Raw genomic sequence first — 16,208 nt, 5'->3', positions numbered from 1 at the left:
AGATTTTCCTTTGCTTGGAATCTAGGCATGTGTCTTTCATCTGTTGGAATAAAAACATTAAAAATAATTTGTGATATATTTTATATAATCTGATTCATTAGTAATCTAATCTTGCAATATAAACTGGATGCATTAAGCATTTGTAGTATATTAAGCCTGGGAGACTGAAGTTTCTTTTCAGCATTCTTATTAAGTTTATGATGATGGAAACTTTTCAAAATTTTTAATGAAAAATGATGTCCCAATTCACTCTTTTCTTTTTGATTTTAGATGGGAAATGTAAAGTCATAAGATCGATAGGTTGACTGTGACAACTATGTTTACTTACAGAGAGAACAGGAAATGAGAATGGGTGATATGGGTCCCCGTGGAGCAATAAACATGGGAGGTAGGGATTTGAAGCAAAAGGCTTTTGTAATTTATCATTTTTGGGGGGACTGTTTATGCTGTTTGTGGTATCTACATATCAGTAAGAAACTAAAATACAGAACCAACATTTCTAAAGGTGAAATCTCTTACATCCATTAAACTGGAATACAATACAATTATATTAAAAATATATGTCTGGGAAGAAAATTCTCATTTTGTTTTTGTTTGAAGGCTAAAAGATGTGTTATACATTCATAGGCTTAATGAAAGAAACATATAAACCAGGTTGCAATACAGCCTGAAGGTAGTTTAGTCATTGCATTGTGTAATACAGCTCTGTCTTTGCAGTTTTAAAATCAAATTTTATGCCTTCTATTTGGCTTTTTTTTTTTTTTTTTTTTTGAGGCAGGACCTCACTCTGTTGCCCAGGCTGGAGTACAGTGGCACAAACTTGGCTTGCTGAAACCTCGACTTCCTGGGCTCAAGTGGTCCTTCCATCTTACCAAGTAGCTGGGACTACAGGCATGTGCCACCACGCCTGGCTTATTTTTTGTATTTTTAGTAGAGACAGGATTTCGCTTTGTTGCCCAGGATGGTCTCGAACTCCTGGGCTCAAGCAGTTTACCCCCATCAGCTTCCCAAAGTGCTGATATTCCAGGCATGAGCCACCTCGCCTGTCCTAATTGAACACTGGAAATTGATAGTTTCCGAGTTGGAAATTGATAGTTTCTGAGTTGTGTTTTTAGGTGGAGAGCGTTTTATACATTTCTATCTTAAACTAGCTTTTTGTGTAACTTTGAAGCTGTTTTCCTTCACTTTAATGAATATTGAACTTTTTTCCTTTAACCTACAGTGTTGTGCACAGAAGTGCACTCAGTGTTTGTAGTCTATAACTCATCAAGGGAATTATGTGTGTCGCCAATGCATGTTTTAGAGTTGACTAAGCTTTTAAGAAAGCATATTAGCAACTTTAGTATGGATTTGCTCGTATAGCCAAGTTGCAAGGGAAATAATGCCAAGTAAATAACCTGAAGGAAAAGCAAGTGTGGCATATCGTAGGCCTTACTAAATTTGAAATTTGAAATGTCATACATTTAAAAGTTGGATAAGGAATTAAATTTTATTAAATTAATTGTCCCACAAAAGCTGTCCCACATTAAATTGTCCCACAAAAGGTGTTATGAAGCTAAAAATCTTTATATAACTTAAAAGTACATAGTTTCAAAGATTACACTACCATGGCAAACAATGTACTTAACATGCACACCCATTTACAAAATCAAGTGTGTTCTCAGCATATATAGTCTATCAAATGAAACTTAAGTCATGTGTGGAATGAACATTTTCCATGATCAGCTTTTTTTTCTTAAACTTCTGTTGCCAGTTTTTCAATACTACTAATCAGATAATGTAGAGTCATATATTGCTGTTTTACTTGGTCACTTTTTACCAACAAGTAGTTAGTGAATATCTCTGATATATGCAGGAAGCAAGAAACATGGCCCTCGCCCATAAAGAACTTAATTGTGAAATTACTGCAGTGGATACGTGAAATAATTAATGAACCAAGAGTGTTCTAAATTATGAAGCATAATTGAGTATAATGATGTCCAAGTGGTCCAATATTTATGTCTTTTTTTAAGAGTAAATGCTGGGGTGCTATTTAATATAATCCATGTAATTTTAAGGATTTTAGGAATAAGGTTATTGTAGATTATAGGCAGTTTAAAAGGCTGTTATCATTATTAGAATGACATTAACATCAGAGCTAAACTTTAAAATAGTATAAAACTTAAAACCATTTCTGATGGTGCAGAGATACTCTGCAATTTTATCAGAAGAAATATCAGAATATGCCTTTAGAGTCCTTATTTAGTTAGGAATTGAAGATAACTTAAAATTTTTGTGACATTTTATTCACCAGAGGACTTACTTACATTTTAGCACTTAACTCTCCTAAAGCCCAGTTTATCTAATTTTCTCTTCAGTCTTCATTCAATGTGAGACTTCATCATAATGGTTTTGTAGAGCTATTAATCATTATCATCCAGTTGGGTTGTTGAGAAGTTAAAACTGTCATAACTCATCAAGTTACATTGATGGAAAGTGGCAGCAGATTTTCTGGTGTATCACTAGTGTGTATAACCAAACGAAACCTACATTATAATGCTACCTTTCTAGTAATCAGATAATGCTAACATTTTTTATATCTTTAAATTTATTTATAGCTATGTGGTGGAAGATGTGAATACTAAAAGTAAGGCTCTAAGTTAACTGCTGTTAGTTGGAAATATTATTTTTGATTTTTTATACCCATAGTTGTATAGTTATATTCTGAACCCACCATTGTTAAATTACATTCTATTAAAGAGAAAGAGAGGAAAAAGAAAACTTCCGAACCCACCATTGTAAAATTACATTCCATTAAAGAGAAAGAGAGGAAAAAGAAACTTAGTTTGTTTTCTGGGGGATTGTTGAGGTAAGACGCCTCTTAGATACTGTTCTTATATTCTCTTCATGTCTAGATTGTAGAAATTATTAAAAATAGCTATTTAGGGCTATACTGAGGGAGCGGAAATATTCTTGGTTAAAGTCTGTTTATCGGCAAGAGCATTTGGGGATGAAGGAAATAATTCCTTCCTATGAATTTGCTAGGTTTCTGGGGATTGGATTCAAAGAGCAGAAGTATGATGCCAGGGGCTGGTAAGGACTCAGCCATATAGAGATTTCAGCTGCATTATAATGTATATTTGAGAAATTGAGTTCTTATTATCAGAAAATTGACCTATGTAATGAAATACTAGAAGAAAACTCTAAATTAGAATGGCTTTGTTATGAATTTTTAATGATAAGTACTAACACTTAAAAGGGAAAAAATTTTTCAAAGAAAATGCCTAAAAATGTGTTGTATCTGAGATCATCATATATGTAGTATTACAGTGCAAACACTATTAATGTTAATGAGGTAGGTGGATTTTTTTAATGAAAAAACTTGAAATATTATCAGGTTGTCCCCATTTATGGAATTTAAGCTTGTCAGAAAGATCCAGATAGCTATATTAATATTTTATCTGTATTTGGTTGCGGTTGCTTTTAAAAATAAGTTTTCTTATAAGTCATTTCAATTTTTTGGTTTAGAGTCCATATTTCAAAATAAAAAGTTAAAAAAAGAGTACCTTATGTAATTTAGCAAGGTATTCCATAAACTCAGGGAGGAAAAAAAAAAAACTAAGATGAGAGGCTAGTTATAATGATCTTTATTTATATATTGCAGGAAATGATTTCCTCTCTCACAACTTAGCATAATTTACTGCTAATATTTTTAGCCATGGGTTGAAAAAAATTAAGTGGTTTTGTAAGTGCTAATCCTTTGTTACTCATTTAAACTGGTAAAATGTAGTCCCCATTGTTAGGGATTCTTTGGTTTAAAAGCCTGCTATTACAAAATAATAGTGATGTCTCAAAGCTTGCAAACTGTTAGTCTCAAATGCCCTAAAATGATTGATAGTTTCCTCCTTGATTTTATGTACGTTTGGCTTGGGGATGAAAATTCTAATTCTAGAGTGTAGGTAATACCCTATTACAGAGTAGATAACGCATATCGCATTCTTAAGGAGCGAAAATAATTTTGATAATGGTCTTGGTATATAGATTGCATAAATATTGTTAAATTGTTAATGTTTACTAAACTAAGATAGGACAGCTCTAAGTATAGATTGTTTTACATAGATGCGTTTAGCCCAGCCCCTGCTGGTAACCAAGGTCCTCCTCCAATGATGGGTATGAATATGAACAACAGAGCAACTATACCTGGCCCACCAATGGGTCCTGGTCCTGCCATGGGACCAGAAGGAGCCGCAAATATGGGAACTCCAATGATGCCAGATAATGGAGCAGTGGTAATGTATCATAAACATTATTTTGATTATATTCAGTAATGTACACTTCTGCATCAAGGATAACTTCACACTTAATATAATTTGGTATCATTTGTTTTGGCAGCCAATGAAGAAGAAAATTTTGTGACATCATATGTTGATGTGTTACAGATAGTTTTTTTTTTTTTTGAGACAGAGAGTCTCGCACTATTGCCGAGGCTGGTGTGCATGGCACGATCTTGGCTTGCTGCAACCTCCACCTTCTAGGTTCAAGCAATTCTCCTGCCTCAGCCTCCCGAGTAGTTGGGGCTACAGGCGTGCGCCACCACGCCAGGCTAATTTTTGTATTTTTAGTAGAGACAGGGTTTCACTATGTTGGCCAGGCTGGTCTCAAACTCCTGACCTCGTGATCCGCCCGCCTCGGCCTCCCAAAGTGCTGGGATTACAGGCGTGAGCCACCGCGTCCAGCTGAGATAGTTTTTAAGTAGTCCAAGAATTAGGATTACTGTCTGTGGCATGCTGTGGTACCTCAGTATATAGCAAATGCATATGTTAATTACAGATATTTTTCTGTGCTTTTTAATTTGTTTCCATCTTTTACCAGCATTCTAACGTTCAAGCATTTTATGATAGTGTTCTTTTCCTGTGTGGACTCCTTATATTTGATGGGGACAAAAGTCCAATATGTATGAACACACAGTTTTCAGTAAATATTTTTGATAAAAATATTACCTGTCATGATTTATTGCAAAGAATTTGGCTGTAAATTAACATTAAAGTTTTTGTGTATTTCCAAACCACCATTGTGGCATTCTTTTCACAGAATTTTAAATTATATTTAGTAAATTTAAAGTAGACAGTTTTTTGTCTTGATCTGAGAGTGTGAAGATATCTTTGTGTGGATTAAATACTATGAAAACAAGGTTTTTCAGTTGTAATTTTTATTATATTTAAATATATTAGTAGCAAGAATGATACCTTTTATCATTTCTATTAAAGTCTGTCACTATATAAATCGGACTTTAGGCAAACCGTTTTCTCATTTAGTGTTTGTTAATGCTTGTTGTAAATAACATTTTGAAAGGGAAATTGTTTGGTTATCTATTTTGAAAAGGCAGTTTAGTTTTGAAACTACTGTATGAAATCTTGAGGCGCCAATGCTGCTAAGAAAGAAAGAAAGCACTGCCTGTTAGACTCAGACCTGTCATCAGTTGTAAATCCACCGTGATCAGAGACGTTAAAAGCAATGCATTGTATGTCTTAGAGTTGAATGCAGCATTTATCATTATTTTATTTGCTTCAAGAATTTGGAGAAATTGGACATGCTGGCAGTTGGATTTTTTAAAATGATAGTTTATACAGGGAGATGAGGCAGTGCACGGCTACTATGAACAGATGGCGCTTAACACAGTGATTGCATTTATTTCCTTCAGTAGAGGCTTTATTTTATAGTGATATGTTTGAAAGCTAGTAAAAACTTATACTACTTTGGTTAAGTTTTTGTGTGGCATATAATCATCAATAGAAACATAGAAGTAACATTAACTGTCCCATTTTTTTATTGTCTCCCTGAAATTGTAAACTTTATTTAAATATCACCCTTGGTCTGTTTTGCACTGACATTTTACTGCTACACTTCAGGGAGTTCTATCCAACCTTTCAGATTAATATGTATGATTATTGTGAAGTTTTTCAAAATACTTAATTCAGATGTTTAAATGTGCTTATTAGTGCATGTTATTACATTAATTTTTAAAACTATTTTCCCATGATAATCTTTCAAGGAAAACACTCTCAGAAGTTTCCATACTGAAATCATAATTCTTTGTGTATGTTTGTATTAGTGCTTTCTATCTTCAAGGAATTGATGTGAAGATTTTTTTTTAGAATGTTTACTTTTAAAAAACCGAATTGATGCTGCTCCCCAGTTTTATTTCTCTGATTTTTTTAAGAACGTATTTTTCTTACATAGCGTAGTTTCATGCAATATAAACTTTTGAAAAAAGGAATCAGAGATTTATTATAATATTGTTTAGGCTTAAGATTACATTTGCTTCTGTCACGAAATCAGTTCTTTGTTCTTTAAATTGGGGCATAGCATTAGCAATATGTAAATCTTCAGATGCTGCATTTTTTTAAAAAAAACATAGTAACTAATTAAATTGCTCCTTTCTTCCTTCTATGTGTGATCCTGATTCTGCTGGACTTTCTGCCGAACTTCATGACACCACCACTTGGGATTTTGCCAATTTTTCTTGTCACTTATATTTGGCGTGTTCCAAATGGACTTCATATTCTATTCCTTATTGTGTGGTATCATAGCACAATGACAGATTTCCTCAAGGACCACCATCTCAGATGGGTTCACCTATGGGGAGTAGAACAGGTTCTGAAACCCCTCAAGCACCAATGAGTGGTGTAGGTCCTGTGAGTGGTGGTCCTGGTGGCTTTGGTAGAGGAAGTCAAGGGGGCAACTTTGAAGGCCCTAATAAGCGTCGTAGATATTAAACATTCGTTCATTCCTGGCTATCTAGAAAAAAAAAAGTCAGTGGTATGCCTTTATACTTTTACCTGTTATCTGGAAGAAATGGTTTTATTGTTAATGTATGTAGACTTAAAAGTTTTTTTTTTTTTGTAAAACTTGAGGTTTTTGTATTTTTCTTTATTCATGAGCTTTGTAGATTAGAATGGTAATGATGCTCATCATTTTGAATGTTGAAATGTGTTTGTGACTTTAGCTAAATATAAGTATTCCATAGTACTGTGAAATCTATGTAGTTAATCTCAATAAAGAAATCATTTTGGATAATTTAAAACTGTTATTAGTGGTATTCTCTTACGGTCTTACTAAACTTTGCTGTAACAGTAATGCTTTGGTTGCTTTAACTAATCCTATCATTAAAAATGAAAATGATTTTGCTTTTTAATTTGCGCAAGTAGCACTAAAGATAGAAGCTTAATTAATGAAAGCTAATGTCAATAAGGGGTAGATAGAGTAGTATATGTGGGGGTGGGAGGGTATGGGAGTTTAATTTGTATAAACCACTGATGTTCTGTGAAATCGGAATTTCCAGCTACATTTCATATAGCTTCTGAATATTCAGGTATTCTGAGACAGATTATTAAGGATATCTTTGTCCTGTGCTGATTTTTCCAAATAAATCTTTTTCATCTTGAAAAAAACTGTTTGAAGGCAAATCTCTTTTGCTTATAAAAAATAATGTCTAGTTTTAAACATATCTGCCATTATTTATTTGGTTTTAATATCTAGACCTTACCCGATTATTATCGTACAGTTAGTGTTAAACATTCTTTAAAATAAAACAATACTGTTGGGTTGGCTGTGAAGTGAGGATTTGCTGTGTGATTTGTGGTGAATTAGGCATTTCTTGAGAATGTAGGTTTCTAGAAGTATTAAAAGATGGCTTGACTCTGCAGTGTTGTAAATATTTCCCTAAAATTTGGACATTTCTCCAGTAAAACGTGTCTGATGGGTTAGGACCATTTGTCTCCAAGGAATGGCAGTGGTTTTCTTTTTAATTGTTTGTTTGTGTTTTTCAAGATAATGCTGAGAGACATCCAAGGAGTACAGTTCAAGAGGTGATTTTAAAAAGCAGATAATTACTTGAGAATGGCTAGAGTCATTGGAATCTGATTAGCTCCTTTCACTATCAAATACCTATTTTGATTTTCAATACTAGGGAGAAACTGATTTTATCACATTATAATGTTTATTGCAAAACAAAGTCATAACTCTTTAAAAATGTGTATGTTGGTCATGTTTATTTAAAATTACATTTAAGGAATCATATATGACTCATACCACAAATGTAATTCATCAGACACTGATCATAGCATAGCTGTTTCTCATAAAACATCATTATGGTTTGCTATATCATGCTTTCAGCACCTTTCTGAAAGATAATATGCTATTTTAAAATAAACACTATGTAAATAGTGGTGTCTGTTTTGCTGGAAGGTGTAGTTTGGAAAGAAACAATTTAAATTTTGCATAAAAGCAGTTGGTTGTAAAGCATAATTGATGCATTCTTTTATACTAATTAAAATTTTCATACGTACTCTTTCATGTTCTGCTATTTTTTTGATACACAGTGTGGATGGAACTATTTTCCAAAATTTGTGGTATTCATAGGCTTTTGTTTTTGACAGTTCTTTGAAAACATGATTTGGAGATTGTAAAATAATAGTCAAAGACTATTCTCATGTTTCTCATAAGTATGAGGTGATGGAGAGTGGGATTTGCTTTAATTTGTGACATTAATTGGGGTATGGGGAGTTTTAACATTGATTACAGTTTTTCAGTGATATCTATTGCACTTAAATCTACCTTTCCCGTCATCTATATTTTATTCATATAATTCTCAGGTAATTTTTAGCATTGTATTTCACTTCAAAGCTGAAATATGATTGGGAGAAACTTGATCCTTTGATGTTAAACCAAGGTACCTTTGGCCAAGGCTGTGAAATTCTGTATGATTCATTCAAGAACACTCGAAGGCCAGTGCACAAAAAGATGTCTTAATCTCCTGAACATCCTAGTGTCCAGGCTCAACTCTGGCACCAAGAACAGAGTTCTACACAACTTTTTCCCAGCATCAAGAAAATCCTTGTTCCGGCTTTACCAAGTTTACGCTGGGAGCAGTCAGCTTCTGAGTGACAGTCAAGTGGAGCATCTCTGAACTCCCAGTTATTCCGTGTTTTTAGTGTTTTTGTATAGTTAAACTTTGTGGCTGGTTCAGTCAATTTTTTTTTCTTGTGGATTAGTATACCAAGGAAGATTTTTGAATATCATCTGCTTAAAAGTGGTAGATACAAAAATAAAGAGGAAATTCAGTAGTGTTAGCTTTCTAAGTAAGTGTGAAGTTGTCATATATGCTATCTTTTTTTTATAAAAAGTAATATGAAACAATTTTAATATATAACAATATTATGATAGTTTGTGTGATGATTTGAAGTACTGAGTTTAAAGTCTTCAGGACTTAATGTTTCATGTGCTACTTGTAATTAGTGTGTATAAAATAAAGGAACACCTGTTTTCCTAATAGTTTTATTCTAGTACTCTATGTTGTTGGAATTTCCCCCATTTTTGTATATTTTGTAAATAAATGCATATTTTTTTTCTTGACAGATGCAGATTTTAAAAAACTGATTCACTTGTGTTTTTGCAAAATTCAATTTGCTATTCTTTCTTGAGGTTTTTTTTATTTTTCTGTGTGAAATCAGTGCTGAGCACTTAGTGAAAGAGATTGAATATTTTTAACCCTGAAATATCAATAATATTAGGGGAACAATATCTGTTTTAGCTGGAATTGCCATTTAATAAAAATAGGAATTGTAAACAAGGACAGTGACTGAAACTTTGGCTCTTGTTTTTCAAACACTATTTGAAATAATACCTTTACAGTTTGTTGAGAAACATACTTGTTGAATATTTCAGTAACTTGCTACTTATATGTAGAGTCTCTAATAATTGCTAAATAGCAATGTGAATGATTAGTAGTCATTAATTAGTAAATGGGGATTAGGTTGATCATTACAACATAGATTCTGAATGAGAAAAAGGACATATATGATTGAAATCAAGTAAGTTTTGTGAAAGGATGTGATCATATTATGGTAAAAGCTTTAAAAAGGGTTGAGATTTAGTGTCAGATGGTATTAGTGAAAAATAAATGGGCCACATCATTTTGAAAAAATGAAGGAAGTTCCTGGGGAGTAAGGTATTATTTAAGTGTTTTCTGTAGGTGTTCAGAGTTTTGTTACAACATCTAATGTGTTAAAATATATTTCTGAGGTGTCAGAGGATAGCAGTGATATAAAAAGTCAGACTTCTTATTTTCAAGAATAAGGCAGTAAATATCCATATACATATCTTCTAATTCAACAGTTATTCATGTTTTCCTGTGTTCATAGATGTTTTTAGGCATGGACTTTTTGGGGGGATGGCAAACTACTTTAAAGTAAGTAGCAGGCTTGATGTTACTTGTCCCTTAAATATTTCAACACATGCCTCCAAAAACAACATTTTTAGGTTAATTTCATACTGATGAAGATTCATTTCTTGAAATCGAAGAGTCCACCTCTTATGTAGCCCAGCATGGAAACATTTCATTCTAAGCAAATCATATAATTCAATGAATTGGGAGTAGTCTTATACTTTACAAGATCATTTTGTTTCCAGCAGCTTTCATTACTGAAGTTTAAAAATTAAAATCATTTTTCTCTGTTCACTTTACATGTTTTTCTGGTGGTGTAAAATGAAGTATGTCTGCCATTTCCTAAGTGAGTATCCATCAGTTAATTTATGGACTGTTACTCTGGGGAAATAATGAAAAAAAAATGCAGAAAAAAATTTATAGTGTCTAATGTTTAAAATCTGGAGTTTTTTAAATACCAAAAGCTGAGATGAGCCTGGGCAGTTGTAGTGAGACCTCGTCTCTACAAAAAATAAAAAAATTTTAAAAATAAATATCAAAAGTAGTGTCTTCTATGTGTTGTGAGAATATTTTGAATTTGTTTTTGTTTCCTTGATTATGGAATAACAATATTAATGATTGAAATTTGAAGCTTGTAAGACAGTGTTTAAAGGCTTACCACAAAACTTGTTTTCTGATTTTATTTGACCTTTTTTTCTGTAAAACCGTTTAGAATATAAATACCTCTAAGGGTTCCTCTTTGTTGAAACTTACTATTTGATTACACTTTTTTTTACCTGATGAAATTAACAGTGTATGTGTTTTTTCTATTTTATGACATTTTTTCCTTTTGAATAACAGAAGTCTGTTATTTCCAGATTGAAGATACTGAAATTCTTAATGTTATATAGCCAGAGTTTATACATACACATTAAACAAAATCTTTTTCAAGAAAATTTTATGGCTTCAGTTACCATTGTCACTATCAGTTCCCTCCTCTGCGAAAGATCCTGTATTTTTAAAAGAAGTTTGTCAGAATTGTTCTTTTTAAATGTGCCTTTCTCATTTAATCAGATGAACTTTAAAAGAGATGGTATTCTGCTTGTACACATAAATAAAATTTCAGTTCTGTCTTGTGGAATATAAATCACTCAAATTTCACATGAGGTAGTTCAGTCTCAAAATTAAGAATAGAATTAGAATTAAGTAGGTTCAAGTGGAAATGTACTTAGTTTGAACACATTTCATTTTAGATTTTCTTCATATTTTAATATAAATTTAGTCAATAAGACAAATTATTCATTAAATACGAGGTCCTACATTGTGTTGATAGTAATATAAGTGGACCTTATATTTTTTAAATGCTTTGTTTAAGTGTTTTGTTGATGGTGTTGAAGACTTTGAAATAGATACCTTAATCTAAATTTTATCTTAATTTTTATTTTTATTTCATTGTCTAAATTTTTATCTAAAATTTTTTCTAGCTCTTTATTACACCAAGACAGCTTCACATTTTTATTTATATATTGTACATCTCATGTAAGGAATTACCGTATATAAGCTAGTGTCATAACTTAAGTAGCCACATTCATTCAGTATGTTTTATGTTTTCTCTCTGACTGGATCTCTGATACATTCTTTCCTGTTCTAGCTGCTTTTATGCAAAAGGGCATTATATGTTTGTCAATCAACCAGGCTTCTGTGACTGTTTAGAAGAATTATGTAAATATATAATCCTGTGCCTGTTCACTTTGCCATGTTTGGAATACAAGTTATTTACATTATTATCTTTATGGTTATTTAAATAATTTACTTTTTGCAAGTTATTTGTATTATTTATTACGTGAAAATTGAGAAAACATCTTAGTGTACCTTTCGTGGTTAACTTTTCCTCAGGATATTTTTACATTATTAGATAATGTAAATCAGTATTAAGTTTCAGACATTCTTTAGATTTAAATATGTTGCCTGGTGTTTTTATGTATTGAGAAAAAGTAAACTAAATTCTACATAGTCATTCTGTATGACTTTTAGTAATTTCTGACCTTTTTGGTGTTAGAGGCAATAATAGTAAGTTGCTTAGTTGTTAATCACTGTATGTTAATTCTTTGAGTTGATTAGAAAATATGTTCCCAGACTTGAATGCTTTACACATTAGGATAACTTTGGAGTGAGAAGTTCAGATAACTGAAAATGGTAATGGGAGTAATTGTCTACAAAAACTTTTCTTAGTCATATAAGATTTTATGAGGTGCCATGTCATTCAGAATTTCACTATATCCATTAATTCATTGTAACAGCATGTATCAAGGGGACCTACTGTGTATTGGTTAGTTTTCTAGGGCTTAAGATACAACAGTGGAAAAAAACTTGTCCTCTAAATTAAGGGACAGCAGCCACAGACATCCTTCTGAAGTTAGTGGTTCTCACACTTGAGCATGCATTAGAATCACCTGGGAGGCTCATTAAAACACAGATCTCTGGACTTTATTCCAGAGTGGTCTGTAGGCCTCAGGTGGAGCCAAAGAACGTTCATTTCTAGTAAGTTCCTATGTGATGACGCTGCTACTGTTGGTAAGAACCCCTTTGAGCATCTGTTTTCAGATATTGTGCCTCAAAAGAGGCTATTCTGATTGTGATTTTTGTTGTTGCTGTAGTTGACTGTCCCAGTACACTGTAGATTGGATAAGATCCCTGACAATCAAAACACCCTCAGACATTTACAGCTATTGCCAGTTGATAAGCACTGCAAAAGTCCATTATTTCTGACTAGGAAACATATTAGCTATTGAGTGTTATTTAATGCATAAATTCATTTATCATACATTTTTGAACTAGGATTTTAAAACCTAGTTAATTCAAATGAAGAGGGTATGTGGAGAAGTGTACTTTGAAGATTTTGTGAAACAAGTTTCCTCTTAGCAGATTCTCAGCATACCAGTATGAGATGAAATAATGTAACTGTTTTTGTATCGGTATGTTTGGACATGCTTCTGGCTGCTGGATGAAGGTGCTAGAAAACTGTCCTGTCTTTACTTACCCTCATGGTGAATATGAATAGAATGATAGTTTGGTGGATTAAAATGATGGCCTGACTTTCTCTTTGGTGTAAGCTTGTTTTGCTTTTCTAGCTTGAAGATAAAAGATTTGATAAGTGTATTTCCCAAGACCATAAGTATATATATTAAAATATTTTCTTTGTAGCGTCAGATATGTGTGTGTGTGTGCGTATGTGTGTGTGTGTGTGCGTGTGTGTGTGATAAAGGCCTACTCAAAATTATGCAGCACAATAAAAAATTAAATTGGTTCATAATGAGAGCATCTATTTGCTGTATTGACAGTTGTTTGTTCCAAAAAATTGTGACTGTACCAGTGCAAAGAAACAGTCACCTGATTTCAGTCCTTTAATATCCCAGAAAGTAGATTCTATAACATTGACTTTGATGTGTGTATGTTAAGAATATCTATATGTAGGAAATAAGTATAGAGATTTGTTTCTTAATTGTAATCCGGATATCACCTGGGGACTCTCTGACTCTGCTTCCCAAAAACTACCCTAAAATAGAATTTGGTATCTTCTCAGTTTTCCACATGAATCAGCCATTTTGAGATTTTTGTGAACATAAATGGGTTTGGTTTGGAGAAGGTGCAATCAGTGTTATCTTTTAACATTGCACCAACCACACCCCTCCCCCATTTCTTCTGTTCAGAGTCAGATTCCTCGCTTCGTGGAGGCCCAGGTCTACGACATTAGGCTGCTTCTACCCCATGGTGGCTTATTAACCTATTTTCCAACTGAGGAATTCTCAGGCAGCCTAATGAGAGTAAGACTTTTTTTTTTTATCTCTTCTAAAAAAAATATGTTGATACCAGACTTTTTCACAGTTTTTCCTGTTATGTATTACTAATTGTCTTCAGTCAAGAAATGATTATTTTTAACTCCTGTGACACCAAAATGAGTTACATCTCTACAAAAATCAGTGTTTAACTTTTATTCTTGGTACATGAATACAGAAAAAAAAATGATAAAAATTTAAAAAGGGACCTGCCTTGAGTTTTTACTTTGTGTCATCTTATACATTACTGAAGTCTTCTGATTGGAATGTGGTTCCCTCCCCCACCAGCATGCATATTTAACGGCTCTAGCATTACCTTACTGGGCAGCCATAGAACTTTATATTTGATCTGTTGCTAATATGTAGATTTATGCATGATGATTAATTGGGAAAAATAAGACTACTTCTTTTGTTTCTTGGCTGTGTATTGTGCTACATTGCCCTTTATCTGAAGCCATTAAATTTTTTTAAAAAATTAGTGGAAGATGGGCAGTTTGTGGAAAATAACATGCTCCAAGTTTTAGGGCTGGGAAGTACAATGTAGAAAAGTGTGTTTACATTCTTAGATTCTGCTTTGCAATAGAATGTACTTAACTTATGTTCTGCTGTTTGTGCTACAGGCCTTAAAGTCAACTAAAGTCTAGGGGTTCATGTCATGAACTTTTTGACATATGAATGGATGAAATATTCCCTAGGTTGGCTGAAAATATAGATCTCATAGTTTGAATTATTTTGGAATTACTTGAATGATATAGAAGACTAACCTATCACAGCCAGTTTCTATTTCTTTTCTGTAGGTCATAAACACAGCATAGATACACATGTTAAATAATTTAGCAGTGCTTGAAACCCTCTTAGTTACATACTGACTTCCTACAGTTTGCTATGTAGACTGTAGTTTCTTGCAGTTTGAAGTGTGAACACAGTGGACCCATCCTTTGCCCTGATAGCATTTGTGTAATAGAGTGACAAATAATATCTTACCATGTAGCGATAAAGGCAGTAGAGAAAATGACAGCTACTCTTTTAGTTAAGGGGCCTAGAAAATAGCTATCTTAGGAGACAAAGGGGAAAGAAAATGATTTTTATTTAGTTTGTGCTCATTGAATTGAGTTGTGCTGAAGTAAGCGGCCACAGTTCTGCCTGAAGCTGAACCATCCTAGTAGTAGTGGCATTTGGCTGTTGAGTCCTTGGAATGGGACTAGTGAGATGAGGAACTAAAGTTTTTATTGTAATTGACTTAAATTCAGTTATTGATAGAATATTAAGCATACTTGGAACGACTTGATTATATTAATCTACTTTTGTATCTTTGATTTTATGTAATCTAAATACAGTTAAGTATTTTTGAGGAAAATTTTGCATCTGAATTAGATTTGCAGACTTACGAAGAAAAGAATGTAAAATTTCTCAACTTTTAAATGTGGCATATGCCGAAGTGATAATATTTTGACTACATTGGGTTCAATAAAATATATATAATTAAGCTAATTTCACCTGTTGCTTTTTTCCCTCCTTTAATGTGGCTTCTAGGAAGTTTAATATTTCACATGTGGTTTGAAATATTTTTCTTGGCCCTGATCTTAGAAGAATAATTTAGTCACATTTTAATTTTTTCCTTTCAATGATTGTAATCTCTGAATCCCATTACATAGGCTATAATTATGTAATTTATTGTTCCTTTTAAAATGAATAAGGTTGAAATTTAAAGTTTTAGTGTGTGTGTGTGTGTATGTGTGTATGTATATATATATATATGGTTTTTTTTTTTTTTTTTTTTTTTTTTTTGAGATGGAGTCTCGCTCTGTCACCCAGGCTGGAGTGCAGTGGTGCGATCTCGGCTCACTGCAGGCTCCGCCTCCCGGGTTCACGCCATTCTCCTGCCTCAGCCTCCCAAGTAGCTGGGACTACAGGCGCCCGCCACCACACCCGGCTAATTTTTTGTATTTTTAGTAGAGATGGGGTTTCACCGTGTTAGCCAGCATGGTCTCGATCTCCTGACCTCGTGATCCGCCCATCTCGGCCTCCCAAAGTGCTTGGATTACAGGCGTGAGCCACCGCGCCTGGCCAAGTTTAAGTATATATTCATAGTTAAGTGTCAGTGTGAGATTAATTTCCTGAGCTTAATTACTTGGTGTTTGCTGTCCTGCAGGGAAGGAGTTGGAGCACGAAGTTCTCAGGAAAGAAAT

At 33.2% G+C, this 16,208-nt stretch overlaps 1 protein-coding gene across 15 annotated transcripts in view; it reads left to right on the top strand.

Annotated features, from left to right (window-relative positions):
• PSPC1 (paraspeckle component 1) overlaps positions 1-16,208 on the top strand; it is a 111,741-nt gene that overhangs the window by 73,016 nt on the left and 22,517 nt on the right. For 3 of the 15 annotated variants that reach the window (XR_007063688.1, XR_941617.3, NR_149052.2), the window contains exons 7-8: positions 331-388; positions 4,099-4,268. The exons of 7 other annotated variants lie outside the window; for them this stretch is intronic. Coding sequence is in view for 3 of the 8 variants with exons in the window: in NM_001042414.4 (NP_001035879.1) it covers positions 331-388; positions 4,099-4,268; positions 6,570-6,755 (414 nt within the window). In the remaining 5 variants the exon portion in view is untranslated. Of the gene's footprint in view, positions 1-330; positions 389-4,098; positions 4,269-6,569; positions 7,431-10,531; positions 10,551-16,208 lie in introns of those variants that run through there. 5 more of the 15 variants (NR_156729.2, NR_149053.2, XM_011535138.4 and 2 more) reach the window with 2 other exon arrangements.

Source organism: Homo sapiens, chromosome 13 (genome assembly GCF_000001405.40).
Source record: "Homo sapiens chromosome 13, GRCh38.p14 Primary Assembly".
NCBI classification, from domain to species: domain Eukaryota; kingdom Metazoa; phylum Chordata; class Mammalia; order Primates; family Hominidae; genus Homo; species Homo sapiens.
The sequence above is the reverse complement of the archived record's forward strand: the minus strand, read 5'-3'. Positions and strand labels throughout refer to the sequence as shown.